At 51.1% G+C, this 26,376-nt stretch overlaps 1 protein-coding gene across 2 annotated transcripts in view, besides 2 other annotated features; it reads left to right on the top strand.

Annotated features, from left to right (window-relative positions):
- The window catches only part of GNG7 (G protein subunit gamma 7), a 191,476-nt gene that overhangs the window by 35,581 nt on the left and 129,519 nt on the right, over positions 1-26,376 (top strand). For both annotated transcript variants that reach the window (NM_052847.3, XM_047438629.1), the window contains one exon: positions 20,834-20,890. The gene's annotated coding sequence lies outside the window, so the exon portion shown is untranslated. The remainder of the gene's footprint in view (positions 1-20,833; positions 20,891-26,376) is intronic.
- Positions 16,425-16,600: a silencer, noted in NCBI's record as "fragment chr19:2650512-2650687 (GRCh37/hg19 assembly coordinates)". NCBI's record gives its function as "represses an EF-1alpha promoter that drives an FKBP-Casp9 reporter gene in an ReSE screen in K562 erythroleukemia cells {active_cell/tissue: K562}" and the evidence as "EXISTENCE:reporter gene assay evidence [ECO:0000049][PMID:32094911]".
- Positions 23,178-23,677: an enhancer, noted in NCBI's record as "H3K4me1 hESC enhancer chr19:2643435-2643934 (GRCh37/hg19 assembly coordinates)". NCBI's record gives its function as "activates a minimal SCP1, AML or CMV promoter by ChIP-STARR-seq in naive H9 embryonic stem cells {active_cell/tissue: H9 hESC(naive)}" and the evidence as "EXISTENCE:reporter gene assay evidence [ECO:0000049][PMID:30033119]".

Below are 26,376 nucleotides of genomic sequence, written 5' to 3'. Positions count from 1 at the left end.
TCCTGACCTCAAGTGATCCACCCGCCTCAGCCTCCCAAAGTGCTGGGATTACAGGCGTGAGCCACCGCGCCCGGATGAGTGTGTGTTTTGTGTGAAGGGATGCTCTGTGCTAACTCTGCCGTGTGATGTTGAGGATCGGAGGTGAATCTTTTTTGACAGGACCCTCATCTAATTTCAGGATGGAAGACTGGAACACTGCCTAGATGAGAGTATTTAGTTGCTGAAATGGTGCTATTTTGTCTTAGACTGTTTTGCGAGGGTCTCAACCAATGGCCTTGGGGGCAAATCCAGGCCACCTGTTACTATAAATAAAGTTTTATTGGCACACGATGGGCCATGCCCATTTATTTATGCATAGTCTATGGCTGCTTTCAAAATACAACAGCAGAACTGTGTAGCTGCAACAGAGAACATATGTTCCGTAAGGCTGAAAATTTTTACATCCTGCCCTAGACAGAAACACTTTGCTGTGCTCTGGTCTAGTCCAGAAAGGAGGTAATCTGGCCAGGCAAGGTGGCTCACACTTGTAATCCCAGCACTTGGGGAGGCTGAGCAGGGAGGATCGCTTGAGCCCAGGAGTTCAAGGCCAGTCTGGGCAACATAGCAAGATCCTATCTCTATGAAAAGTAAAAACTAAAAAAGCAGGCATGGTGGCTCACACCTATGTAATCCCAGGACGTTGGGAGGCTGAGGTGGGCAGATCACCTGAGGTCAAGAGTTTAAGACCAGCCTGGCCGACATGGCGAAACCCCATCTCTACTAAAAATACAGAAATTAGCCGGGCATGTTGGCAGGTGCCTGTAATCCCAGCTACTCGGGAGGCTGAGGCAGGAGAATCCCTTGAACCCGGGAGGCTGAGTTTGCAGTGAGCTGAGATCGTGCCACTGCACTCCAGCCTGGGCGACAAGAGCAAGACTCTGTCTCAAAATAAAAATGAATAAATAAATACAATAAAAATTAAAACATAAGCCGGGCACGGTGGCACTTTGGGAGGCTGAAGCAGGCAGATCACCTGAGGTCAGGAGTTCGAGACCAGCCTGACCAACATGGTGAAACCCTGTCTCTACTAAAAATACAAAAATTAGCTGGGCGTGGTGGCGGGCGCCTCTAATACTGGCTATATGGGGGACTGAGGCAGGAGAATCACTTGAACCCGGGAGGCAGAGGCAGTGAGCCAAGTTCGCACCACTGCACTCTAGCCTGGATGACAGAGCAAGACTCCATCTCAAAAAATAAGTAAAATAAATTGAAAAAGAATAATAAAAGGAGGTAATCCAGGTTCTAAATAATAAAGCCAGTATGTGCCATGACCCATGGCTCAGACACCACTTTAAACATTTTATAGATACTCATTTATGTAATCTCCAAAACCAGTCTCACAGGGTGGATGCTGCTTCGATGTGCATTCTACAGAGTGGGAAACTGAGGCACAGCGACAGTGGCAAGGGACTGAAGGTCACCCAGCCAGACAGCGAGTCGTGAAGTCAGAATGGAGTAGCTCTTGTCCAGCACTCCACCTTGGCCATACCAGAGCGTACGTCCCCACCCAATCCTTCCTCGGGACTCAGTGGAGCTATTTTCACATTGAGGGGAAATAGAAATCCGTTCGTTCTCATTTTCTTTCTTTTTTTTGTCCCGCATGGCCCTCTTCCCAAATCCTTGTTGCCCGTCTCACCAGACATTCCAGTTCCAAGAGGTGGGGTGTGGCGAGGACTGTCCAGCACGGCAGGGTGATCCTGCCCCCCCCCCCCCAGGGGACACTGGGCCATGTCTGGGGACATTTGTGGCTGTCACCATTGAGAAGTGCTCCGGGCATGCAGTGGCTGGAGGTCACGGATGCCGCTCAGCGTGCTGCAGTGCTCAGGACGGCTCCATCCCAGAGAATGGTACAGCCCCAGTGTCCACCGTGCCTGGGAGGAGAGACTCAGCATTCATTATTTGGAGAAGAAATGGAGTCTGCTTCCTGCTCACCAGGACACACTCCTGATGGGGCAGACGGTGTAAACCAGGGGACCCCAGCTCGTGGGATTCACCTCCTCTCTCCCTCCCCCCAACTAAAGGTGTGGATTTCAATGTGTGCAGCCTCCTGGGACCTCAGCAGGACAGAAGATCAGGGGACAGAGTATCTTGGGGGTCCGTGGAATTTCCTAATTCAGGGGGTGTCAACTGAGGGTGATTCTGCCCCAGGGGACACTGGGTGTTGTCTGAGGACATTTGTCGTTGTCACAACTTGAGGATGGTCGTGGCGTGGAGTGGGTGGAGGCCAGGGACACTGCTCAGCACCCTGCAGTGTCCGGGACAGCTGCACCCTAGAGAATGACCCAGCTCTGAATGTCCACGGTTTCCAGGGGAGAGACCTTGCATTAACTGGCAAAAAAATGAGTTTGCTCCCTGCTCACAGTAGACACCAGAATAGATTCCCGATGGGGCAGACGGTGTCAGCCGGGGCCATCCTCCCAGAGTGACCTAGAGGACTGGGTGAGGAGGGTCTCTAGAGCACTGAGGGTGCAGGACACAGAGCCAACCGTCTGATTGTTCCTTCCCCCTCCTTGACCTCGGCTCACAGAGACCTTGAACCCTCAGGGTCAAGCAGGCCTGCCCCTTTGTTCTGTGTGCCCCAGGGTGCAGTGGAGCCTGTTCCAGGTCACGCCCGGCCTGGCCGTCATCAGTCTCGTGGCTCTGAAGCAGCCACGTCACTCCCCCAGTCCCGGCACCTCCCCTGCGCCTGCACCTGGGTGAGAGCCCGTCCAGGCCTCTCTGCCCCCTTCCTTTGCAATCAGCACTTTGCTGGTGACATATTTAGATGGTTGCTGTGGTGATGAGTGAAGGCTGAGGTTGACAACTTCAGCGATGGCACAAAGGACAGGGCTGTGTTTCTATATCCAGCCTCCAACGAGACAAGACGCCCCTGCCACGTGCTGGCAGAATGTCAGCGTGGGAAGGGAAGGGGGCTCTGACAGCCCGTCCTGCCCACTCAGTTCCCAGAGGAGGAAGTGCAGCCGGGCCTGGGGGGCGGTGGAGGATAGGCCTGTCATCAAATGTCAGGTCCCTGGCTGTCCTGCCCTTGAGGGACATGCCTTAGAGCATTGGGTCTCAACTGGGGGCAAGCCTGCCCCCTGGGGGACACTGGTAATGTCTGGGGACATTTGTGGGTACCGTGACTTGGGGGTGCTCCTGGCCTGGAGTAGGTGGAGACCAGGGATGCTACTCAGCACTGTGCAGTGCCCAGAACGGCCCCACCCCAGAGAATAATCAAGCCCCAGTTTAATAGTGTCAAGATCAAGCCACGTTGCTTTAGTAGGAAATAGATAAAAGCCAGTGGATTTGTTCAGTTTTAAAAACTGGTGCTGGCATGCATATCTTGATAATTTGCAAAATGCCAAAATGAATCATTTTCTTGGCCTGGTCATTCTTCTGATTTGCCCTCAGTGAATGTACCTTATCCATCTGGGCTTTTGCATCTCTCCCAATTATCAGGTTGATAGATATTGGAAAAACAAGAAAATGAAAAATCCAATTGCTGGCTTTTAGGAAAAGGTAATGTTTGACTACACACCTGTCTTTATTTTGTGCTGCTATAATGGAATGCCATAGACTGGATAATTTATAAATAATAGAGATTTGTTTCTTAACGGTTCTAGGGACTGGGAAGTCCAATGTCGAGGTGCTGGCATCTGGTGAGGGCCTTCTTGCTGCGTCAGAGGTGGAAGGGCAAAAGAGCACATATATGAAAGATTGGGGAACTGGGGAAGAAAGAGGAGGGGGGGGAGAGAGAGAGAAAGGGTGAGAGGGAGAGAGAAAGAGAGATGGCATTAATGAGGGTAGGGCCTTCATAACCTAATCACCTCTTAAAGTTCTCACCTCTCAACATGGTGGCATTGGGAATTAAAGTTTCTACAATATGCTTTTTGGGAGACACATTCAAACTATAGCAACATCTGCTTGGAGGAGTCATGTGGATCAGCCCTTCCTTCCCTTTGCAGATGTACCAGTTATCTATCACTGTGTAACAAATTACCCCAACACTTAGCTTAAACAGCAAGCATTTACTATCCTGCAGTTTCTGTGGGTCAGTGGGATATTATATTACTTGCATTATATTTATTATATTATTTGGTCTTTGTCCTGATTTTTTTCTGGTGCAGAACTCCTAAAATCCTTGGAATCTGCAAAGTCATGTCTTTTTGTATGATGATAAGTCGACTGATGGCTGACAGCTTCTAGTTATTTTCAGGAATGGTCTGGCCACCAGAAAGATCAAGGCAGGATGAGAGGGCTGGAACCTTTAGCTGTACCCTCCAGCCTCTGGGGAGGGGAGAAGGGCTGAAGGTTGAGGTGATGACCAGTGGCCAGTGACGCGATCAGTCATGCCTATGAAGTAAAGCCTCCATAAAACTTCAAAAGGACGGGGTTTGGAGAACTTTGAGATAGCTGAGCACATGGAGGTTCCTGAAGGGTAGCATGCCAAGGAAGCTTTGCCCTTCTTCCCTATACCTCATCCTATGCATCTTTTCGTCTGTATTCTTTGTAATATGCTTTATATTAAACCAGTAAATGTGTTTCCCTGAATTCCGAGAGCTGCTGTAGTAAATTAAACCCAACCCTAACTTCAAGCTGGTCAGTTGGAAGTTCTGGAGGCCCAAACTTGCTACTGGTATCTGAAGAGGTTAGGGGCAGTCTTGTGGGGGGATTTAGCCCTCAACCTGTGGGGTCCAAGGCTGTCTCCAGGTAGATAGCACCTGAATTGAATTGAACTGAATCGAATTAGGGGACAGCTAGCTGGTGTGTGGGGAAACTCCTCTCACATTTGGTCACAGAAATATCTTGGGTTGATTTTTTTTTTTTTTTTTTTTTGAGATGGAGTCTCGCTCTGTCGCCCAGACTGGAGTGCAATGGTGCAATCTCTGCTCACTGCAGCCTCCGCCCCCCAGGTTCAAGTGATTCTCCTGCCTCAGCCTCCTGAGTAGCTGAGATTACAGGTGCCCACAACCACGCCTGGCTAATTTTTGTATTTTTGGTAGAGACAGGGTTTCACCGTGTTGGTCACGCTGGTCTCAAACTCCTGATCTTAAGTGATCCACCTGCCTTGGCCTCTGAAAGTGCTGGGATTACAGGCGTGAGCCACTGCACCTGGCCATGTTGATTGCTGTTGATGTGAGAGCAAGAGGAAAAGCAATTTGAGTTTGAGTTTTTTCCACCCTCACTCAGGAGTTAGGAAGCAGCTCCACTGGGTGATTCTGGCAGTGAATGTGCTGGGGCTGTATCATCTGAAGGCTCGATTGGAGCTGGAGGAGCTGCTTTCAAGAGGGCGCCCTCATGTGGCTGTTGGTGGAGGCCTCAGCTTCCAACTGGCCTTGACAGGAGGGCAAAATGCCCAAATGAGTCGTTCCTTCCTTCTTTCCTTTTTTCCTTCCTTCCTTCCTTTTTTTTTTTTTTTTTTTTTAATGGAGTCTCACTTTGTCAGCCAGGCTAGAGTGCAGTGGCACAATCTTGGCTCACTGCAACCTCTGCCTCTTGGATTCATGCAATTCTTCTGCCTCAGCCTCCCGAGTAGCTGAGATTACAGGCATAATTACAGTAATTAGCCAATTACTGGCTAATTTTTATATTTTTTTTTAGTAGAGATAGGGTTTCACTGTGTTGGCCAGGCTGGTCTCAAATTCCTGATCTCAAATGACCTGCCCCAACCTTGGCCTCCCAGAGTGCTGGGATTATAGGCATGAGCCACTGTGCCCAGCCTGGAGGGCCCATTTCTTTCTTTCTTTCTTTCTTTCTTTCTTTCTTTCTTTCTTTCTTTCTTTCTTTCTTTCTCTTTCTTTCTTTCTTTCTTTCTTTCTTTCTTTTCTTTCTTTCTTTCTTTCTTTCTTTTCTTTCTTTCTTTCCTTTTCTTTTTTTTTTTTTTGAGACAGAGTTTTGCTCTTGTTGCCCAGGCTGGAGTGCAGTGGCACGATCTTGGCTCACTGCAACCTCCGCCTCCCAGGTTCAAGTAATTCTCCTGTCTCAGCCTCTCTAGTAGCTGGGATTACAGGCATGCACCACCACGCCCGGCTAATTTTGTATTTTTAGTAGAGACAGGGTTTCTCCATGTTGGTCAGGCTGACCTCGAACTCCCAACCTCAGGTGATCTGCCCGCCTCGGCCTCCCAGAGTACTGGGATTACAGGTGTGAGCCAACGTGCCCGGCCTGGAGGGCCCATTTCTGCAACACATGGATTTCTTCACAGCACTGCCTGCATTTCCCCACAACATGGCAGCTGGCTTCCCCCAGAACACATGACCCAAGAAAGAACAAGCAAAAGTCACTGTGTCTTTATTTATTTATTTGAGACAGGGTCTTCCTCCATTGCCCAGGCTGGAGTGCAGTGGTATGAGCATGGCTCCCCACAGTCTTGAACTCCTGGGCTCCAGTGATCCTCCTGCCTCAGGCTTCCAAGTAGCTGTGATTACAGGGGCACACCATCACGACTGGCTAATTTTTGTATTTTTTGTACAGATGGTGGTGGGGTGTTGGTGGTGGGGGTGTCTCACTATGTTGCCCAGGCTGGTCTTGAACTCCTAGGCCCCCATCCTCCCATCTCAGCCTCCCAACGTGCTGGGATCACAGGCGTGAGCCACCACACCCAGCCTCGTCTACTTTCTAGCTTGTCTTCTTGTACCTTTGAGGGCAGGAACATGGTAAACAGATGAAAAATATACGTCCAGTTTCTCCCTTCCCTGTGGTTTTGGAGCAGGAGGATGAAAAGGTCTTACCCACAGCATCAACCCTTCAATGGAAGGAATTGTGTTTCTCCCACAGGGAATCAGGATTGGAAAGGGATGAGGCTCAGGGAGAATTACACAGAGCCTTGTGGGTGTAACGGGGATGAAGATGTGTTATCTCCCACTTGATGCCATCTTGCAGAAATAAGCTAATCATCTCCAGAATATGCTTTCGTTCACCAAATGGGATTTACACATGCATCCTAGGCTAATCTGCCTTCCACGGATGGCAGGTTCTGTGAGTAATCCGACAGAGGCTAATTGGGACGGATTCCATGAGGACTGCTGTGTGATCCGCTCGCCGCCATGGCCCCTCGGTGAGGAGGATGGCTCTGGTGTGGGTTAATCCAGGCTTAAGTGGCCAGGAGATTTTGATCCTCATGGTATTACATTGTGATGATACTCACAGGGGCTCGGGGGAAAGCAGAAAATCCATTTGGCCAAGACTGACCAGTCTTCTCTCTGGGGCTTATTCAGGAAGCTTGTGGAAGGGGATCCAGTCATAAATGTCAGTGCTTACGGATCATGTTGTCTAAAGTGGGTGTCTCTCCTTTCCTCTTCCTTCCCTCATCCCTCCCTCCCTCCCTCCCTTCCTTCCTTCCTCCATCCCTCCCTCGCTCACACTCATTCCCCTTCCCTTCCTCTCTCCCTCCCTCTCACTCTGTTTTCCTCTCTCTCCCACCCTTTCTCCCTCTTCCTCTCCCTTCCTCTTTCCTTCCCTCCCTCTTTCCCTCCCCTCCTCTCTTTTTTTTTTTTTTTTTTTAAGATGGAGTCTCACTCCTCTATTTCCCAGGCTGGAGTGTAGTGGCGTGATCTCAGCTCACTGCAACCTCCGCCTCCCAGGTCCAAGCGATTCTCCTGCCTCAGCTTCCCAAGTAGCTGGGATTACAGGCAAGTGCCACCATGCCTGGCTAATTTTTGTATTTTTAGTAGAGATGGAGTTTTGCCATGTTGGCCAGGCTGGTCTCAAACTCCTGTCAAACTCCTGACCTCAGGTGATCCCCCCATCTCAGCCTCTCAAAGTGCTGGGATGACAGACGTGAGCCACCGCGCCCGGCCCTCCTCTCCTTTATTTAAAAAAAATCAAGGCCAGGCGCAGTGGCTCACGTCTGTCATCCCAGGACTTTGGGAGGCCAAGGTGGGCGGATCACGAGGTCAGGAGATTGAGACCATCCTGGCTAACCCGGTGAAACCTCGTCTCTACTAAAAATACAAAAAATTAGCCAGGTGTGGTGGCGGGCGCCTGTAGTCCCAGCTACTCGGGAGGCTGAGGCAGGAGAATGGCATGAACCCGGGAGGTGGAGCTTGCAGTGAGCCGAGATTGTGCCACTGCCCTCCAGCCTGGGTGACAGAGCGAGACTCCATTTCAAAAAAAAAAAAAAATCAGAACGCTTGGTTCGTGATACAACTCTCACAATTTGTCTCTTCAAGTCCCCCTTTTAATAGACTATTTTTAGAGCAGTTTTAGGCCTAAAGAAGAATTGAGCAGAAGGCAGAGTTCCCACCTATCTCCTCTCCCCGAAAAGGTACGCATTTCCCCCAATGTTACCCTCTCTCATTAATGTGCTACATTTGTTACAACTAATGAGCCAGTGGATACATGATTATTGACTAACAGCTACAGTTTACATTTGGTGTGGCTCACTCTCTAGGGACCTCCTAAGCGTGGAGTTACACAGGATTTGTCCTTTTGCATCTGGCTCATTTCACTGGGCGTGATGCCCTCAAAGTTCATCCACTCTCTAGCCCATGTCAAAATTTCCTTCCTTTTTCAGGCTGAATCATATTCCGTGGCATAATGGATGACATTGTGTTTATCCATTCATCTCTCGGTGGTCACTTGGGTGTCTCTGCCTTTGGGGTGTGGTGAATCGTGCTGCTGTGAACACGGGGGTACATTTTGGTTTCGGGGGATGTACCACGTTTTGTTTATACTTGGCTTATTTTTATAAAGCTCGGGGCTAAAAAGCCTTTTCCATTTTAAAAGTGTTGTAAAAAAACAAATAACAAAGAGGAATATGCAACAGTGACCCTTTAGCTCACAGAGCATAAAATACTTACTTTTTGTCCCTTTGCAGAAAAAATTTGCAGACCCCAGATGTAAGATACTAACATGAGGGGAAACTGGGTGAGGGGCGTTTGAGAACTGTAGGGTCCAGCCCTATAGGGTCTGTGGGTTTTTCTCCCCGTGTGTGGAGACGAGAGATCGTAGAAATAAAGACACAAGACAAAGAGGTAAAAGAAAAGACAGCTGGGCCCGGGGGACCACTACCACCAAGACATGAAGACCGGTAGTGGCCCCAAATGCCAGGCTGCACTGTTATTTATTGGATACAAGACAAGGGGGCAGGGTAAGGAGTATGAGCCATCTCCAATGATAGGTAAGGTCATGTGTCCACTGGACATGGGGCCCTTCCCTGTTTGGCAGCCGAGGCAAAGAGAGAGAGAGAGAGAGGAGACAGCTTACGCCATTATTTCCGCATTTCAGAGACTTTTAGTACTTTCACTAATTCTGTTACTGCTATCTCGAAGGCAGAGCCAGGCAGCTCGTGCCCTCAGTCTCTTGCCTCGGTACCTAGGTTGCCTGCTGCCCATAGGGAACGTTGGACTAGATTTGCAACTTTTCTGTAAATCGAAAATTTTTCCAAAACAGAAACAAAATTTTTTTAAAAGATGGTGTCTTGCTATGTTGCCCAGGCTGGTCTCCAGCTCTCCTGGCTCCAAATGATCCTCCTGCCTCAGCCTCTCCAGTAGCTGGGATTACAGGCACAAGCCCCTGTGCCTGGCTGAAACAAAAGATTTTTGAAAAGGATCCTTGGGGGCAGAATTCAAAAAGTCCTATAAAGCAGGACATGAAACCCAAAAGTCAGGAGTTAGAGACTGGCAGACGACTTTGAGTTTCAGCTCTGAGTGCCTTTGTACTGTTTCTCTTTTTAGGATAAATGTTATTATGTGTATATATATATATATATATATATATATATATATATATATTTTTTTTTTTTTTTTTTTTTTTTTAATTGAGACGGGGTCTTGCTTTGTCACCCAGGGTGAAGTGCAGTGGCACCATTTCAGCTCACTGCAGCTTCGAACTCCTAGGCTCAAGACATCCTCCTGCTTCAGCCTCCCCAGTAGCTGGAACTACAGGTGTGCACCACCAGACCCAACTAATTTTTGTATTTTTAGTAGAGACCGGGTTTCACCATGTTGCCCAGGCTGGTCTCGAACTCTTGGGCTCAAGAAATCTGTCCTCCTAGACCTCCCAAAGGGCTGGGATTACAGGCATGAGCCACCGCGCCTGTAATGAGCCAGTTTTAATTTTGAAGACAATCATTGAAAATTGATCTGACGCTGTTTCATGTTTTAAGGCCTCTCCGCTGCCCCACCCCCAGAGGATTCCAGCACATGAAATCTGTAAACATTTGGTTTTACAGTGTTACTCTTTGCTAAAAATCATTAGGACTTACTCGTTTCTGGCATTCAAGGTCCTCTGAGATCTAACTCTAGTACACGGATTATATCAACCCTTCCTAAAGGGCCGGAGGTAAATTCTTGGCGTTGCAGGCCATGTGCTCTCTGTCGAGGCCTCCCAGCTGTGCTGTAGGAGCCCAGAAGCAGCCATGGATGATATGTAAGTGAACACGCACGGCTGTGTGCCAATAAAACTTTATGTACAAAAGCAAGCAGTGGGCTGCATTTGACCCATGGGCCAGAGTTTACCAACCTCTGGTCTAGTTCATCTTTCTTTCTCTTTTTTTGATGGAGCCTCACTCTGTCACTCAGGCTGGAGTGCAGTGGCGTGATCTTGGCGCACTGCAACCCCCGCCTCCTGGGTTCAAGCTTCTCCTGCCTCAGCCTCCTGAGTAGCTGGGACTACAGGCGTGCACCACCATGCCCGGCTAATTTTTGTATTTTTAGTAGAGACAGGGTTTCGCCATGTTGGCCAGGCTGGTCTTGAACTCCTAACCTTGTGATCCGCCTGCCTTGGCCTCCCAAAGTGCTGGGATGACAGGCGTGAGCCACCGCACCCGGCCTCACATTTTCTGTATCCATTCATCCAACGATGGACATGTAGGTTGGTTTCCTATCTCGGCTATTGTGAATGAGGCTGACAGATTCTGATTTCATTTCCTTTGGATGTATACCCAGAAGTGGGATTACTGGATCATATGGTGGTTCTATCTTTAATTTTTTGAGGAACTTCCATTCCGTTCTCCAGAATGGCTGTGCTCATTTACATTCCCACCAACAGCACACAGGGTTCCCTTTTCTCCACATCCTTACCAATGTTTCTTTTTTTTTTCTTTCTTTCTTTTTTTTTTTTTTGTTTTGAATCGGAGTCTCACTCTGTCACCCGGGCTGGAGTGCAGTGGCACGATCCTGGCTCACTGCAACCTCTGCCTCCCAGGTTCAAGTGATTCTCCTGCCTCAGTCTCCAAGCAGCTGAGATTACAGGTGCCCACCACCACGCCTGGCTAATTTATATATATATGTATTTTTTTTTTTTTTTTTTTTTTCAGACGGAGCCTCTCTCCGTCACCCAGGCTGGAGTGCAGTGGCGCGATCTCGACTCACTGCAAGCTCCACCTCCCGGGTTCACGCCATTCTCTTGCCTCAGGCTCCCGAGTAGCTGGGACTACAGGCGCCCGCCACCACGCCCGGCTAATTTTTTTGTATTTTTAGTAGAGACAAAGTTTCACTGTGTTAGCCAGGATGGTCTCCATCTCCTGACCTTGTGAGCCGCCCACCTCAGCCTCCCAAAGTGCTAAGATTACAGGCATGAGCCACCGCACCCGGCCTAATTTTTATATTTTTAGTAGAGACAGAGTTTCACCATGTTGGCCAGGCTGGTCTCGAACTCGTGATCTGCCTGCCTCATCCTCCCAAAGTGCTGGGATGACAGATATGAGCCACCGCACCCGGCCATCTTTACTAATGTTTTTTATCTTTTATCTTTTGGATCATAGCCATTCTAACAGGTATCTCATTTTGGTTTTAATTTGCATTTCCTGGCTGATTAATGATCTTCAGCGTTTTTTCATAATCCTGTTGGCTGCCTGCGTGTCTTTATTTGAGAGGTATCTAGTCAGATTATTTAACCCCCTCTTTTTTTTGAGATAGGGTCTCTTTTTGTTTTTGTGTGTGTGTGGTTTTTTTTTTTTTTTTTGAGACAGAGTCTTGCTCTGTCACCCAGCCTGGAGTGCAGTGGTGTGATCTCAGCTCACTGTAGCCTCGACCTCCCAGACTCAGCAATCCTCCCATCTCAGCCTCCTGAGTAACTGGGATCACAGGTGCAGACCACCACACCTGGCTATGTTTTAAAATTTTTTTTGTAGAGATGGGGTCTTGCTATGTGGTCCAGGCTGGTCTTGAACTCTTGAGCTCAATCAGTCCTCCTGCCTCTGCCTCCCAGGGGACACTGGACAATGTCTGGGGACATCTGTGGTTGTCACAACTCGGGGGTGCCCCTGGCATGGAGTGGGTGGAGGCCAGGGATGCTGCTTAGCACCCTGCAGTGCCCAGGATGGCCCCAGCCCAGAGAATGGTCCAGCCCCAATGTCCACAGTGCAGAGGGGGGAGACCCTGCATTCATTATTTCGAAAAAAATAATTGAATTGCGTCTCTGCTCACAACAGACACCAGAATAAGCTCCCAATGGGGCAGACAACATAAACTAGGGGACTCCAGTTCCCGGGATTCTCCTCCTCTCTCCCTCCCCCCACTCAGGGTGTGGATTTCAATGTGTGCAGCCTCCTGGGACCTCAGCAAGGGGGAGGATCATGGGACACAGTCTCTTGGGGATCTGTGGAACCCCCTAACTGAGGAGGTCTTTCTGGGGATGATTCTGTTCCCCAGGGGACATCAGGCAATGTCTGGGGACATCTGTGACTGTCGTGACTGGGGGTGCTCCTGGCATAGAGTGGGTGGAGGCCAGGGATGCTGTTCAGCTCCCTGCAGTGCCCAGGATGGCCCCACCCCAGAGAGTGACCCAGCTCTAATGTCCATAGTGCCTGGGGGTTGGGAGGGGGACCCGTGCTGTTTCGGATCGTGTCTAGGAGGCTGCTCTGGGAACCCGGGGAAGGTGGGAACAGAGCTTGTCATGAAGCGGGAGGGGAGGGTATGCGTCAGAAAAGAAATGACAGGTTTGAAATCTGCAGAAGCTCGTCTTTCCTCTCCGCCTCTCCTCCCCAGCCGGCCCCGCCCCCACCTGGCTTCCTAAATAAAGACCTTCCTCTGCATGGAGACCGCCTCACTCAAACTCACCCCCTCGTGCATATGCAGAGTCTCAAAAGACACGGCCCCGCCCCCGCCACAGCGAGGGTCTGAATGGGAGGTTTGGAGGAGAGCATCTGTGTCCCAGACCCGGCGGTGGGGGGCCCAGGGTGCTGGGCACATCTTCTGGAACCCGGGCTCGCCGAGGCAGGCGAGAGCTGTCCCCTCGCCTCTGTTGGGGATGCCTGCCAAGGTTAGCCATGGGCGAGGCCAGGGACAGCGCCTGGGTGGTGCCAAGGGGACTGTGAGTCACCTGTGGATAGGAGGGCTGAGTGAGGAGGGGACACGGGCCCTGGGCCTCAAGGGCACCATCTGAAGATCCCATAAGGATGAGGACAGGGGAGGCCAGAGGGCAGAAATTCAAGGCAACGGAACAGCTCTAGATGGGGGATGCCCCTGGCATGGGGTGGGTGGAGGCCAGGGACGCTGCTCAGCTCCCCGCAGTGCCCAGGACAGCCCCACCCCAGAGAATGATCCGGCCCCAATGCCCACAGTGCCGAGGGGGAGACCCTACATTCATCTGGAAAAAAATAGACTTCGATCCCTTCTCACTCCAGACACCAGGATAAACTCCTGATGGGGAAGACGGTATAAACCAGGGGGGCCCCCCAGCTCCTGGGATTCTCCTCCTCCCTCCGCCCCACTCAGGATGTGGATTTCAATGTGTGCAGCCTCCTGGGACCTCAGCAGGGCCGAGGATCATGGGACTCAGATCGATCCCTCATCTGCCCTGCTGCGGAATTTCCCAGCTCTGTGTTTGTCTGTTGCAAATCCCCAGGTTTGGGAGCTGAGGGTCTGGCTGTTTGTGTCCTTGGGCGCTGCTTGGAGATACTGGGCTATAAAATCTATCAGCCTTTTCAGAATTACAAGCAAAAATAACAACCAGCACCTTAATAACCCTAGAAGATGCATGCCTTCGACACTGTGGGTGAGGCCTGGTTTTTGTTTTCAGTTTCTATTATTTATTTTATTTTATTTTGATTTATTTATTTGAGTCAGAGTCTTGCTCTGTTGCCCGGGCTGGAGTGCAGTGGTGTGATCTCGGTTCACTGCAGCCTCTGCCTTCTGGGCTCACGTGATCCCTGGAGCCACCATGCCCAGCAAATTTTTAAATTTTTTGTAGAGATAGGGTCTTGCTATGTTGCCCAGGCTGGTTGCAAACTTCTGGCCTAGGGTCTTGCTATGTTGCCCAGGCTGGTTGCAAACTTCTGGCCTTCAGCAATCCTCCCACCTCAACCTCCCAAAGCACTAGGATTACAGGCATGAGCCCTTGTGCCCAGCCCATAGTACAATATCTTTAGCTGGTTCACAGGCTACAGTGACATCTCTCAGTGTTTCCAACACAGCTGAAACTATGTATCCTCTGACCCCCATCTCCCCCTTCCTTTCCCTCCTCTACCACTAACCGCTCTTCTGCTTTCTGTTTCTATGTATTTGGGAGGTTTTGATTGTGTGTTTGTTTTGAGATGGAGTCTCGCTCTGTTCCCCAGGCTGGAGTGCAGGTGGCACGATCCCAGCTCACTGCAACCTCTGCCTCTCGGGTTCAAGCGATTCTCCTGCCTCAGCCTCCTGAGTAGCTGGGATTACAGGCATGCACCACCACGCCCGGCTAATTTTATATTTTTAGTAGAGACGGGCTTTCACCATGTTAGCCAGGCTGGTCTTGAACTCCCAACCTCAGGTGATTTACCCGCCTCGGCCTCCCAAAGCGCTGGGATTACAGGCATGAGCCACCGTGCCTGGCTGTATTTGGGGTTCTTTGCTTGTTTTGTTTTTGGACTCCACAATACGTGGGATTACGCAGTGTTTTTCTCTCTCAGCGTCTGGCCTATTTCACTTGGCATCGTATTCTCCAGGTTCTACAAGGGGGAATTTTATGGCATGCGAATATTTTAATTTTTTTTTTTTGAGACGGAGTCTCGCTTAGCCGTCCAGGCTAGAGTGCAGTAGTGCGATCTTGGCTCACTGCAACCACTGTCTCCCGGGTTCAAGCGATTCTCCCATCTCAGCCTCCCGAGTAGCTGGCATTACAGGCGCCTGCCACCAGACCTGGCTAATTTTTGTATTTTTAGTACAGACGGGGTTTCACTGTGTTGCCCAGGCTGGTCTTGAACTCCTGACCTCAGGTGATCTGCCTGCCTTGGCCTCCCAAAGTGCTGGGATAACAGGCATGAGCCACTGCACCCGGCCTATTTTAATTTTTTAAAGAAAGAAATTGGTCAGGCACGGTGGCTCATGCGTGTCATCCCAGCACTTTGGGAGGCCGAAGCAGGTGGATTGCCTGAGCCCAGGAATTCAAGACCAGCCTGGCCAATATGGCATAACACCATCTCTACAAAAACTACAAAAATTAGCTGGGCGTGGTGATGGGCACCTGTAATCCCAGCTACTTGGGAGGTTGAGGCAGGAGAATCTCTTAAACCTGAGAGGTGGAGGTTGCAATGAGCTGAGATGGCACCACTGCACTCCAGCCTGGGTGACAGAGTGAGACTGTCTTAAAAAAAAAAGAGAGAGAGAGAGAGAGAGAAAGGGAGAGAGAAAAGAAAGAGAAAGAAGAAAGAAGGAAAGAGAGAGACAAAGGAAGACAGAAAGAGAGTAAGAGAGAGAAAGAAAAAGAGAAAGAGAGGGAGGAAAGGAAGGCAGGAGGGAGGGAGGAAGAAAGGAAGGAGGGAAGGAGGGAGGGAGGGATGGAGGGAAGGGAGGGAGGGAGGGATGGAGGGAAGGGAGGGAGGGAGGGATGGAGGGAAGGTAGGGAGGGAGGGAGGGAGGGATGGAGGGAAGGTAGGGAGGGAGGGATGGAGGGAGGGAGGGAAGGAAGGAAGGAAGGAAGGAAGGAAAGGAAGGAAGGAAGGAAGGAAGTCGGACAGAGATCTGGAGAAGTGCCTCCAGGACACAGTGGGGAGGGCCGGGAGGCGGTGGCAGCCCTTCGTACACGAGGTCCCCTGACCACCACCACTGTCCATGGCCTCTGTGTCCCAAGGGGGACTGATCTCTCCCTGCTGACATTCGGCACCTGCTACCTGGAGTGTTTCTTGCCTGTGTCTGAGACTTGCCTGCCTGCTGGGTGGAAGGGCCAGCTGCCCATAGGTGCCCAGGGCCCTGAGCTGGGTTTAAAGCCGGGCTATTGGCGCCTTGAAATCCATACTAATTTATGAACAGGAGGTCCCAGCGGTTCGTGTTGCCCCAGCTCGGCAGTTTCTGAGGGGACCTAACCCCCGCGGAGAGGTCTCTCCTCCTTGTCTCCACTGCTGGCCGCCCGGGTCGATTGTGATTTGTCCACACAGGGAACATGAAAACACAGCGTTTCTGTCAGGCTGAGTGAGCCGCTGAAGGTCGCTGGGGGACAGCCTGGCGCCAGCTGGTGCGGCTCAAGGCCCGAGGACAGAGCGGCTGGGATGCGGCTTCACCCACGCTGTGCTCGCCTCTGACCCAAGCTGCTCTGAGGCCGAGTGCAGACCAAGGGGCATCCGCAGGGATCGCCTCACTGCCAAGTCCAAGGTCTTGAGGACAGCCAGGGGCTGGGGTTAAAGGGCTGGGGACAGGGAGGTTTGCAGTGAAGGCAGAGAGTGAGAACTCATCTTAAAAATGATTCCTAGGGCTGGGAATCATTGTTGCCTGTAATCCCAACAACTTCGGGAGGCCAAGGCTGGCGGATCACCTGAGGTCAGGAGTTCAAGACCAGCCTGGCCAACATGAGGAAACCCCGTCTCTACTAAAAATACAAAAAAAGCTAGCCAGGCATGGTGGTGGGTACCTGAAATCCCAGTTACTCTGGAGGCTGAGGCAGGAGAATCGCTTGAACTCGGGAGGTGGAGGTTGCCGTGAGCCGAGATCGTGCCCCACTGCACTCCAGCCTGGGGGATAGAACGAGACTCTGTCTCAAAAAAAAAAAAAAAAAAGATTCCTATGACACGAATATTCACAGCAGCAGATTCACAATTGCCAACAAGAAGGAACGAGCCGATTGTCCATCCGCCGGTGAATGGATTTAAAAAACACGTCCTTCCATACTCAGGAGGAGTAAGACTCAGCCATGGAAAGGAGCGAGTCTTTGACACAGGTCACAGCATGGATGCACCTTGAGGACGTCACACTCAGTGAGAGACACCAGACACAAAAGGCCACACAGTGTGTGACCCCATTTCTATGAAATGTCCAGGACAGACCCATCCGCAGAGTCAGGGAGGGTGTGCGTGGGGGCCGGGGCTGGGGATCGGGGGCTGATGGCGAGGGGGCTTCTTTGTAGGGTGATGAGAATGTTCTGGAACTACATAAAGGTGATGGTTGGCCAGTTTTGCAAATATACTGAAAACAATGAATTATACACTTCAAGTGGGCGAGTTGTATGGTACAGGCGTTAGTTCACAATAAGGCTGTTTAAAAATAATGATTCCTGGCTGGGCGCGGTGGCTCACGCCTGTAATCCCAGCACTTTGGGAGGCTGAGGCGGGTGGATCATGAGGTCAGGGGCTCAAGACCAGCCTGACCAACATGGTGAAACCCCGTCTCTACTAAAAATACAAAAATTAGCCGGGGGTGGTGGTAGGTGCCTGTAATCCCAGCTACTCAGGAGGCTGAGGCAGGAGAATTGCTTGAACCTGGGAGGTGGAGCTTGCAGTGAGCTGAGATCGCACTCCAGCCTGGGTGACAGAGCAAGACTCCGTCTCAAAAAGTAATAATAATAATAATAATTCCTAGGGGTGAGCGTCTACACTGAATGTATCCGCCTCTCTCAGTTTGCTGGTTTTGATAAGATGTGCCCTAGTTGTGTACGGTGTCGCTGGCAGGGTAGTGAGTTGAAGGGCGCACCAGACCACTTCAAATTCATTCAGTAATTTAAGGTTGTCCAGGTGAAATGGCTACACCTGTAATCCCAGCCCTTTCAGAGGACAAGGTGGTGAGAGGATCACTTGAGCCCAGGAGTTCAAGACCAGGCTGGATAACATAGCAAAGACCCTGTCTCTATTTTTAAAAAATTAAAAATTAGCCCACAAATTAAGCACATTCCTTCCCCCTTCCCAGAACATAAAAACTACAACAGTGATGCCCACCTGTAGGCCCAGCTCCTCAGGAGGCTGAGGAAGGAGGATCGCTTGAGCCCAGGAGGTGGAGGCTGCAGTGAGCTGTGATTACACCATTGCACTCCAGCCTGGGCAATAGAGTGAGGCCCTGTCTCAAAAAAAACAAAAAACAAAAAACAAAAAAAAAAACACATGATTCAGAGTTGAAGGATTATGTTCATAGCTGCCCTGCAAGGTGGAGGGCAGGAGTCTGGGCCTCCTGCAGCCCCGTGGGCATGCCGCTCCAGCCCTTTCATCACTCATCCCTGCTGCCCTGAGCTGCTGCTGTCCTGAGTGGCAGGCCCTGGTGTAGCAGATCCTGCAAGATTCCAGCTGCTGCCAGAGCCCAAGGGTGCCAGGGCATTCCTGTGGCAAGGGCACCACCTGCAGGTGACAGTGAGGATTTCAGCTCCCTATCCCTACCTTTTATTGATGGTAAATTACCCTGAGCTCGTAGAACGGAAACTAGCATTTTAAAAAGTCTGCATTTTTTTTAAATGAACTTTTAATTTTAGATTTTCAGAAGAGTTGCAAAGAAATCCAGAGATTTCCTGTCTACCTCTCACCAGTTTTCCCTTATGTTAGCATCTTATGAAGTCACCATGCATTTGGGGTTGGTCTGTTTTTGAGACAGTGCCGTGCTCTGTTGCCCAGGCTGGAGTGCAGTGGCACAATCGCAGATCACTGCAGCCTCGACCTCCTGGGCTCAAGTGATCCTCCTGCCTCGGCCTCCCAAGTAGCTGGGACTACAGGTTTGCACCACCATGCCCAGCTAATTTTTACATTGTTTTTATAGAGATGGCAGATGGGGTCTTGCTATGTTGCCCAGGCTGGACCATATACTTGTGACCACCAAGAAGCCCATGTGGGTACATTTCTATAAGCTAAATTTCACTCTTTATCCCAGTTTCACGGTTTTTTTCTTCTAATGTCCTTTTTCTGTTTTAGGATCCTATCCTGGATCCCAAGTGGCTTTTTTTTTTTTTTTTTTTTTTGAGACAGGGTCTCGTTCTGTCACCCAGGCTAGAGTGCAGTGGCATGATCTCAGCTCACTGCAACCTCCGCCTCCCGGGTTCAAACGATTCTCCTGCCTCAGCCTCCCAAGTAGCTGGGATTACGGGCGCCCACCACCACACCTGGCTAATTTTTGTATTTTTAGTAGAGACAGGATTTCAACATGTTGACCCGGCTGGTCTCGAACTCGTGACCTCAGGTGATCCTCCCACCTCGGCCCCCCAAAGTGATGGGATTACAGGTGTGAGCCACCGTGCCTGGCCCCATGTGGCATTTATTTTTATTTTTTCTCAGACAGGATTGCACTCTGTTGCCTAGGCTGGAGTGCAGTGGTGCAATCCTAGCTCACAGCAACCTTGATCTCCCAGGATCAAGCGATCCTCCCATCTCAGCCTCTCGAGTAGCTGGGGTCACAGGCGGGCACCACTACACCCTCCTAATTTTTAAATTTTTTTTGTCAAGATGGGGTCATTTTGTAGAGATGGGGCGACTCGCTGGGAGGACCCTGGACTCCGCATGAGGCCTCCTTGTGACTGTGGTTTGTCCCAGCAAGAGGACATGGAGCACAGAGCAGAGTTTGGGAAGGGAAAGGCTCGTGGGGTGGGTCGGGGAGGCCAGGCCCGGCTTCTAGGCCCAGCTTCCAGGCCCTCTCCCCATGTGTCACGCGGGACACGCCACATCCCCAGCAGCGAGCTGGGACAACAGCCCAAAGCACTGTCACCAGCGAGGCTCCCAGAGACCCAGCACCCACGTTCCTATGGGGGCTGGTTCTGCTGCCCCTGCTGCCTGACCCATGCCAGGATTCCAGGCTCCAGAGGGAGGCAAGGATTTCATATAAACCACGGTGTTTGCAGGAACAGCTTTGGCCCTGGAGCTTGTCCTGTCAGTGATGGTGGCAGGGTCCCCCCGAGTCCCCCGAGGTGGGGAGTTCCTGGTCGCAGCCTCAGGCATGTGGTGCCAGCCTGGTTCTGCTCAGAGACTGCCCGTACCAGCTGAGCTGGGGCTGAGGGACTTCCCAGGATGCAGGACTTTCAGGCTAACTCTGGAAAAGTCCTGGGCAGACCTGGATACGTTGGGTGCCTTCTGGGCACCGTGGGACTAACTCAGCCCCTTCTTCTTCCTCCCAGGGAGATCGTGAGGCTCCAAAGATGTACAGAGATGTTTTTGATAAACTGTGAAGAGCCGTAGAAACATCAATCCTTGCACTCAGTTCAGTTTTCAAACACGTGGAAAATGTATTAGGAATAACGTCATAAATCTCTAATAATAAATATTTTCAGTGAATTGTCTTCTGCTTTTTTCCTTTTCTATTATTTTTTTTTTTGAAGCAGAGTCTTGCCCTGTTGCCCAGGCTGGAGGACAGTGGCTCGATCTCAGCTCACTGCACCCTCTGCCTCCCGGGTTCAAGGGATTCTCCTGCCTCAGCCTCCTAAGTAGCTGGGACTACAGGCACCCACCACCACGTTGGCTAATTTTTATATTTTTAGTAGAGACGGGATTTTGCCATGTTGGCCAGGCTGGTCTCGAACTTCTGACCTCATGATCCACCTGCCTTGGCCTCCCAAAGTGCTGGGATTACAGGCCTAAGCCACCGCGCCTGGTTGCCAAAATGATTTCTGTCCTTGTCCAATCACAAGCGCGAGGCCGTTCTCCAATGCTGACCCCATCAACACATGCATGGTGCCTCCAGCCAAGCCACGCCAAACTAACTCTATGTGTTTTTTCCAGGGAGTGGAGCTTGGTTTCGGGATCTCGGTGCTGCAGACGGCGAGACCTCCTGCACAGGTCGGTGCTGTAATGCATTTCTTTGTTATGATTTGAGGTTCAGTTGGCTGTTTTGCACCCTGGATGTAAGACGTGGGGTTGCCGTCAAGGCGGGCGTCTTGGCCTTGACCTGGGTCTGTCGGCTGTTTGTATCCACCAAGTATGGGTAATGGGGAGCAGGTGTGGGTAACAGCTGCTAGCTCCTGGCAGAGTTTCCCGCCCACGAGGCAGGGAACGTGGCACTCACTGGTCCTGCTGGTGCCGGAGCCCCTGGATGGGGTCAGGGTGGGAAGCCCACAGCGGTGCTGCATGCCTTTCCGGTGTCTTCGTGCCATGGTAGGGAGTTTTAAGGAGCCTTCACCCGTATCTCCTGTGCACCTGGAGAGTGACCCGTCGCTGGCCCTTTAGCTCTCCTCTGTTGATTTACTCCTCGTTTTTCTCCCTAGAGAATCATGAGTGGCTTTTAAAATGTAGGAAGAGGAAACCATTTAAAAATAAGTAGAAAGGAAGGCAGAAATGTCCAGAAAAGGCAAAGCCATAGGGACAGAAAGGGACTCGTGGTGATTGGAGGCTGGGGACATGAATGTGCACCAGAGACTTGCCAGGGACGTGGAAATGGACCCGATGGTCGGGTCGGGGTGACCGCAACCTGGTGAACTTACTTAAAAATCTTAAAACAAAATTTTTTTTTAAGAGTTAGGGTTTTGGCCAGGCATGGTGGCTCATGCCTGTAATCCCAGCACTTTGGGAGGCCGAGATGGGTGGATCACCTGAGGTCAGGAGTTCCAGACCAGCCTGACCAACATGGTGAAACCCCATCTCTACTAAAAATAGGAAAATCAGCCAGGCGTGGTGGCAGGTGCCTAGAGTCCAAGCTACTCGGGAGGCTGAGGTGCGAGAATCACTTGAGCCTGGGAGATGGTGGTTGCAGTGAGCCAAGATCATGCCACTGCGCTCCAGCCTGGGTGACAGAGCGAAACTCCTTCTAAAAAAAAAAAAAAGAGAGAGAGAGAGAGAAAAGAAAGAAAGAAAGAAAAACAGAAAAGAGTTAGGGTTTGCTTTGTTGCCCAGGCTGGTCTTGAACTCCGTGGCTCAAGTGATCTTCCTGCTTTGACTTCCCAAAGTGCCAGGATTACAGGTGCGTACCATTGCACCCGGCCCTGAAGTATCTTTGAGCAGTACACTTCACTTGAATTTTATGGCATGTAATGTGTACCTTAAAAATGCATATTTTAGCTAAGCCCAGTATAAATCATTTTGGTCTCATCCTTAGTAGTCAATGGTCATGAGAGGTAATTCAGAAACAGATGTACTCAAAAGTCAAGAATATGTTCAAATTTAGCAATAAGGCAAAGACTCCAAATGTCCATCAATGGGTGAATGGATCAGCAGAACATCCTCCATCCACACCATGGAGTGTTACTCAGCCATGAAAAGGAATGAAGCTTTGACACAGGCCACAGTGTGGATGTACCTTGAGGACGTCACGCTCAGTAAGAGATGCCAGACACAAAAGGCCACACAGCATGTGATCCCCTTTCTACAAAAGGTTCAGGACGGGCCGATCCACAGAGGCAGGGAGGGGATGCGTGGGTGCCGAGACTGGGAGGGGCATGGGAAGTGATGGTTGATGGGTTTCTTCTTCTTGGCATAATTAGAATGTTCTGGAATTAGTGGTGATGGTTGCAGGACTCTGAATGTACTAAATGCCATTGAATTGTGCGTTTTCTTTTTATTTTATGATTTTTTTCTTCTTTTTGGTGCCGCAGATAATACTCAGAAAGAATTATGCATTTTAAATGGGTGCACTGTATGTCATATGAATTACATCTCAATAACATGATGCATGTATAGATAGAGCATTATATATATATATATATATATATATATATATATATATATATATATATATATATAAAGTGTAGGCCGGGTGCAGTGGCTCACACCTGTAATCCCAGCACTTTGGGAGGCCAAGGCAGGTGGATCACCTGAGGTCAGGAGTTTGAGACTAGCCTGGCCAACATGGCGAAACCCCGTTTCTACTAAAAATACAAAAATTAGCCAGGTGTGGTGTTAGGCACCTGTAATCCCAGCTACTTGGGGGGCTGAGGTGGGAGGATTGCTTGAACGCGGGAGACGGAGGTTGCAGTGAGCTGAGATTGCGCCACTGCACTCCAGCCTGGGCGACAGAGCGAGACTCCATCTCAGAAATAATAAAATAAAATAAAGTGTAGATGCAAAAAGTGTAGATATAAAATATATGTATAATATTTATTTATGAAGCCAAACATAAAAATGTAAAGGACTTCATATTGTACAATTCCACTTACAGGAAAATTCTAGAAAAGGTGACAGATCAGAGGTCGCCTGGAGGCTGGGGGGTTGGGATCGGGGCAGCTCTGGGAGTCGATGACAGCGTCCCATTGAGATTATGCTGATGGTTGCATAGCTGTAGAAATGAATGGCAACCCTTAGAACCATGTGCGCTTGAAGATTAGCGTGCCCAGTGTGCATCGCAGGGTGTGTAACTGCACCCCAGTGAAGCTGTGACACCAACAGAAAAGCTCAGCCCGAAAAAGGAGGCGCAGGGCTGGAAGGTGTGCAGAGCCCGGAGAGGTCTCGGACTTTGCATTTCCGGTGCCGACGGAGCCGGGCCGGAAGGTGTGCAGAGTCCGGAGAGGTCTCGGACTTTGCATTTCCAGTGGACATGGTGCAGGGCCGGAAGGTGTGCAGAGCCCGGAGAGGCTCAGACTTTGCATTTCCGGTGCCGACGGAGCCGGGCCGGAAGGTGTGCAGAGTCCGGAGAGGTCTCGGACTTTGCATTTCCAGTGGACATGGTGCAGGGCCGGAAGGTGTGCAGAGCCCGGAGAGGCTCAGACTTTGCATTTCCGGTGCCGACGGAGCCGGGCCGGAAGGTGTGCAGAGTCCGGGGAGGTCTCGGACTTTGCATTTCCGGTGCACATGGTGCAGGGCGGGAAGGTGTGCAGAGCCCGGAGAGGCTCAGACTTTGCATTTCCAGTGCGGACAGTGCAAGGCCGGAAGGTGTGCAGAGCCCGGAGAGGTCTCCGACTTTGCATTTCTGGTGCACATGGTGCAGGGTGGGAAGGTGTGCAGAGCCCGGAGAGGGCTCAGACTTAGCATTTCCGGTGCCAATGGCGCAAGGCGGAAAGGTGTGCAGAGCCCGGAGAGGGCTCAGACTTTGCATTTCTGGTGCACATGGTGCAGGGCGGGAAGGTGTGTAGAGCCCGGAGAGGGCGCAGACTTTGCATTTCGGGTGCCGACGGCAGGGCCAGAAGGTGTGCAGAGCCCGGAGAGGTCTCCTGCATTTCCGGTGCACATGGTGCAGGGCGGGAAGGTGTGCAGAGCCCGGAGAGGGCTCAGACTATGCATTCCCGGTGCTTCCTGGGGCTGCCACAGGTTTGGTGTTGGGCTTCTTCAAACATTCAGTTCTGGCCGGGCGCCATGGCTCACGCCTGTAATCCCAGCACTTTGAGAGGCCAAGGCAGGAGGATGGCTTGAGCCCAGGAGTTTGAGATCAGCCTGGTCAACAGAGCGATATCCTAAACTCTACAGAAAATTAGACAGGTATGGTGGCACGCACCTGTAGTCCCTGCTAGTGGGGGGCTGAAGTGGGGAGGATCGTTTGAGCCTGAGAGTTTGAGACCAGCCCAGGCAACATGGTGAAACCCCATCTCTACAAAAAATACAGAAATTAGCCAGGCGTGGTGGTGCACACCTGAAATCCCAGCTACTGAAGAGGCTGAGGTGGGAGGATCGCTTGAGCCCCGGAGGTCGAGGCTGCAGTGGGCTATGATTGCACCACTGCACTCCAACCTGGGCAACAGAGCCAGACCCTGTCTAAAAAACAGAAACAAATAACCCCATTCATTTCGACAGGGAAACGCTAGCAGCTGCGGAGCTAATAGTGTTTGCAAGCTAGGATACGGCAATTCTCAGCAAGAAACATTGCGATTTCTGATCTCCCGTGGGCCCTTTTGGAAAGACTGCCCGTGATGGGGTCATCGTTCTCCATGACCTGTCCCAGAAACACGTGTCCCATGGTGGGGGTCTGTGAGAACAGCTCCCTGGCAGGCAGGCTGTGGGCTGGTGGGGCTGCCCACTAAGCCCCGAGGGCCTGGATCGGAGCTGCTAGATCCTCTTTGGGCACTGGTGGATGTAGGCACCTCCTGCCCCAGACGTAACAAGTGACTACTGATGTAGAACGGCTTCTCCCACACAGTTATTATCTGACAGCGCTGAAGCTCAGAAGTCTAACGTAGGGCCAGGCGCGGTGGCTCACTCCTGTAATCCCAGCACTTTGGGAGGTCGAGGTGGGCGGATCACCTGAGGTCAGGAGTTTGAGACCATCCTGGCTAACATGGTGAAACCCCATCTCTACTAAAAATACAAAAAAAACCAGCCAGGTGTGGTGGTGTGCATCTGTAGTCCCAGCCACTCAGGAGGCTGAGGCAGGAAAATCGCTTGAGCCCGGGAGGCGGAGGTTGCAGAGCCAAGATCACGCCACTGCACTCCAGCCTGGGCGACAGAGTGAGACTCCATCTCAAAAAAAGAAAAAATAAAAAAAAAAGAAGTCTAACATAGGCCTCACTGGGCTAAAATCATGGAAAATCAAGGTGTGGGCAGGCCAGTCCCTCCTTGGGGCTCCAGGGGAAAATCTGGTTCCCGCATTTCCCAGCGTCTAGAGGCACCCACATCCCTTGGCTCGGGGCCCCCTCCTCCCCCTTCACAGCCACAGTGAAGCCTCTTCCAGTCTCTGTTTGACTCTCACCCTCCTGCCTCTTCTCCTGAGGACGCTATGAGGACATTGGGGCCCCCAGATCACCCCGGATGCTATCCTATCTCACGATCCTTAACTTCATCCCATCTGCGGTCCCTTTTGACATGGAGCTGACCTGTCCACGGCTTCTGGGGTTAGGATGGGGCTGTCGCTGGGAGCCTGCTGTTCCTTCTGCTGACATGGGGAATGGGCTGGAGGGGTGAGCAGAGCCGACTTCCTCCCTTGCCTGGTCACTCACCTGCCTGTGACCTCAAGGAGAGAGGAAGAGGCTCCCCGTGGGGATCTGCCGGGCGCAACTCTGGCCATCGCAGGGCTGAGTTCTCGAGGCTAAGAGCCACTGAGGGTCAGCTGCGGGACCCGAGTCCCTTCTTCTTGTACCACCTCTGGGGACCATCTGCCAGTTTCTGGAGTGCCTCCCCTTCATTTCATAGACTTAAGTTTCTCAAGCAGGTCATTTTAGGGATGGCAGTTTGGCCTGAAGCCCTTTGATCCCTGATTGACGTCAGAACTTGGTGAGAGCCTGGGTGTGGTGGCTCACGCCTGTCATCGCAGCACTTTGGGAGGCCAAGGCGGGAGGATGGCTTGAGCCCAGGAGTGTGAGACTAGCCTGGGCAACATAGCAAGACCCCATCTCTACAAAAAAATTAAACAATTAGCTGGGTGTTACAGTGTGTACCTGTGGTCCCAGCTACACTGGAGGCTGAGGCAG

Source organism: Homo sapiens, chromosome 19 (assembly GCF_000001405.40).
Source record: "Homo sapiens chromosome 19, GRCh38.p14 Primary Assembly".
NCBI classification, from domain to species: domain Eukaryota; kingdom Metazoa; phylum Chordata; class Mammalia; order Primates; family Hominidae; genus Homo; species Homo sapiens.
This window is presented reverse-complemented; position numbering and strand designations above follow the sequence as displayed.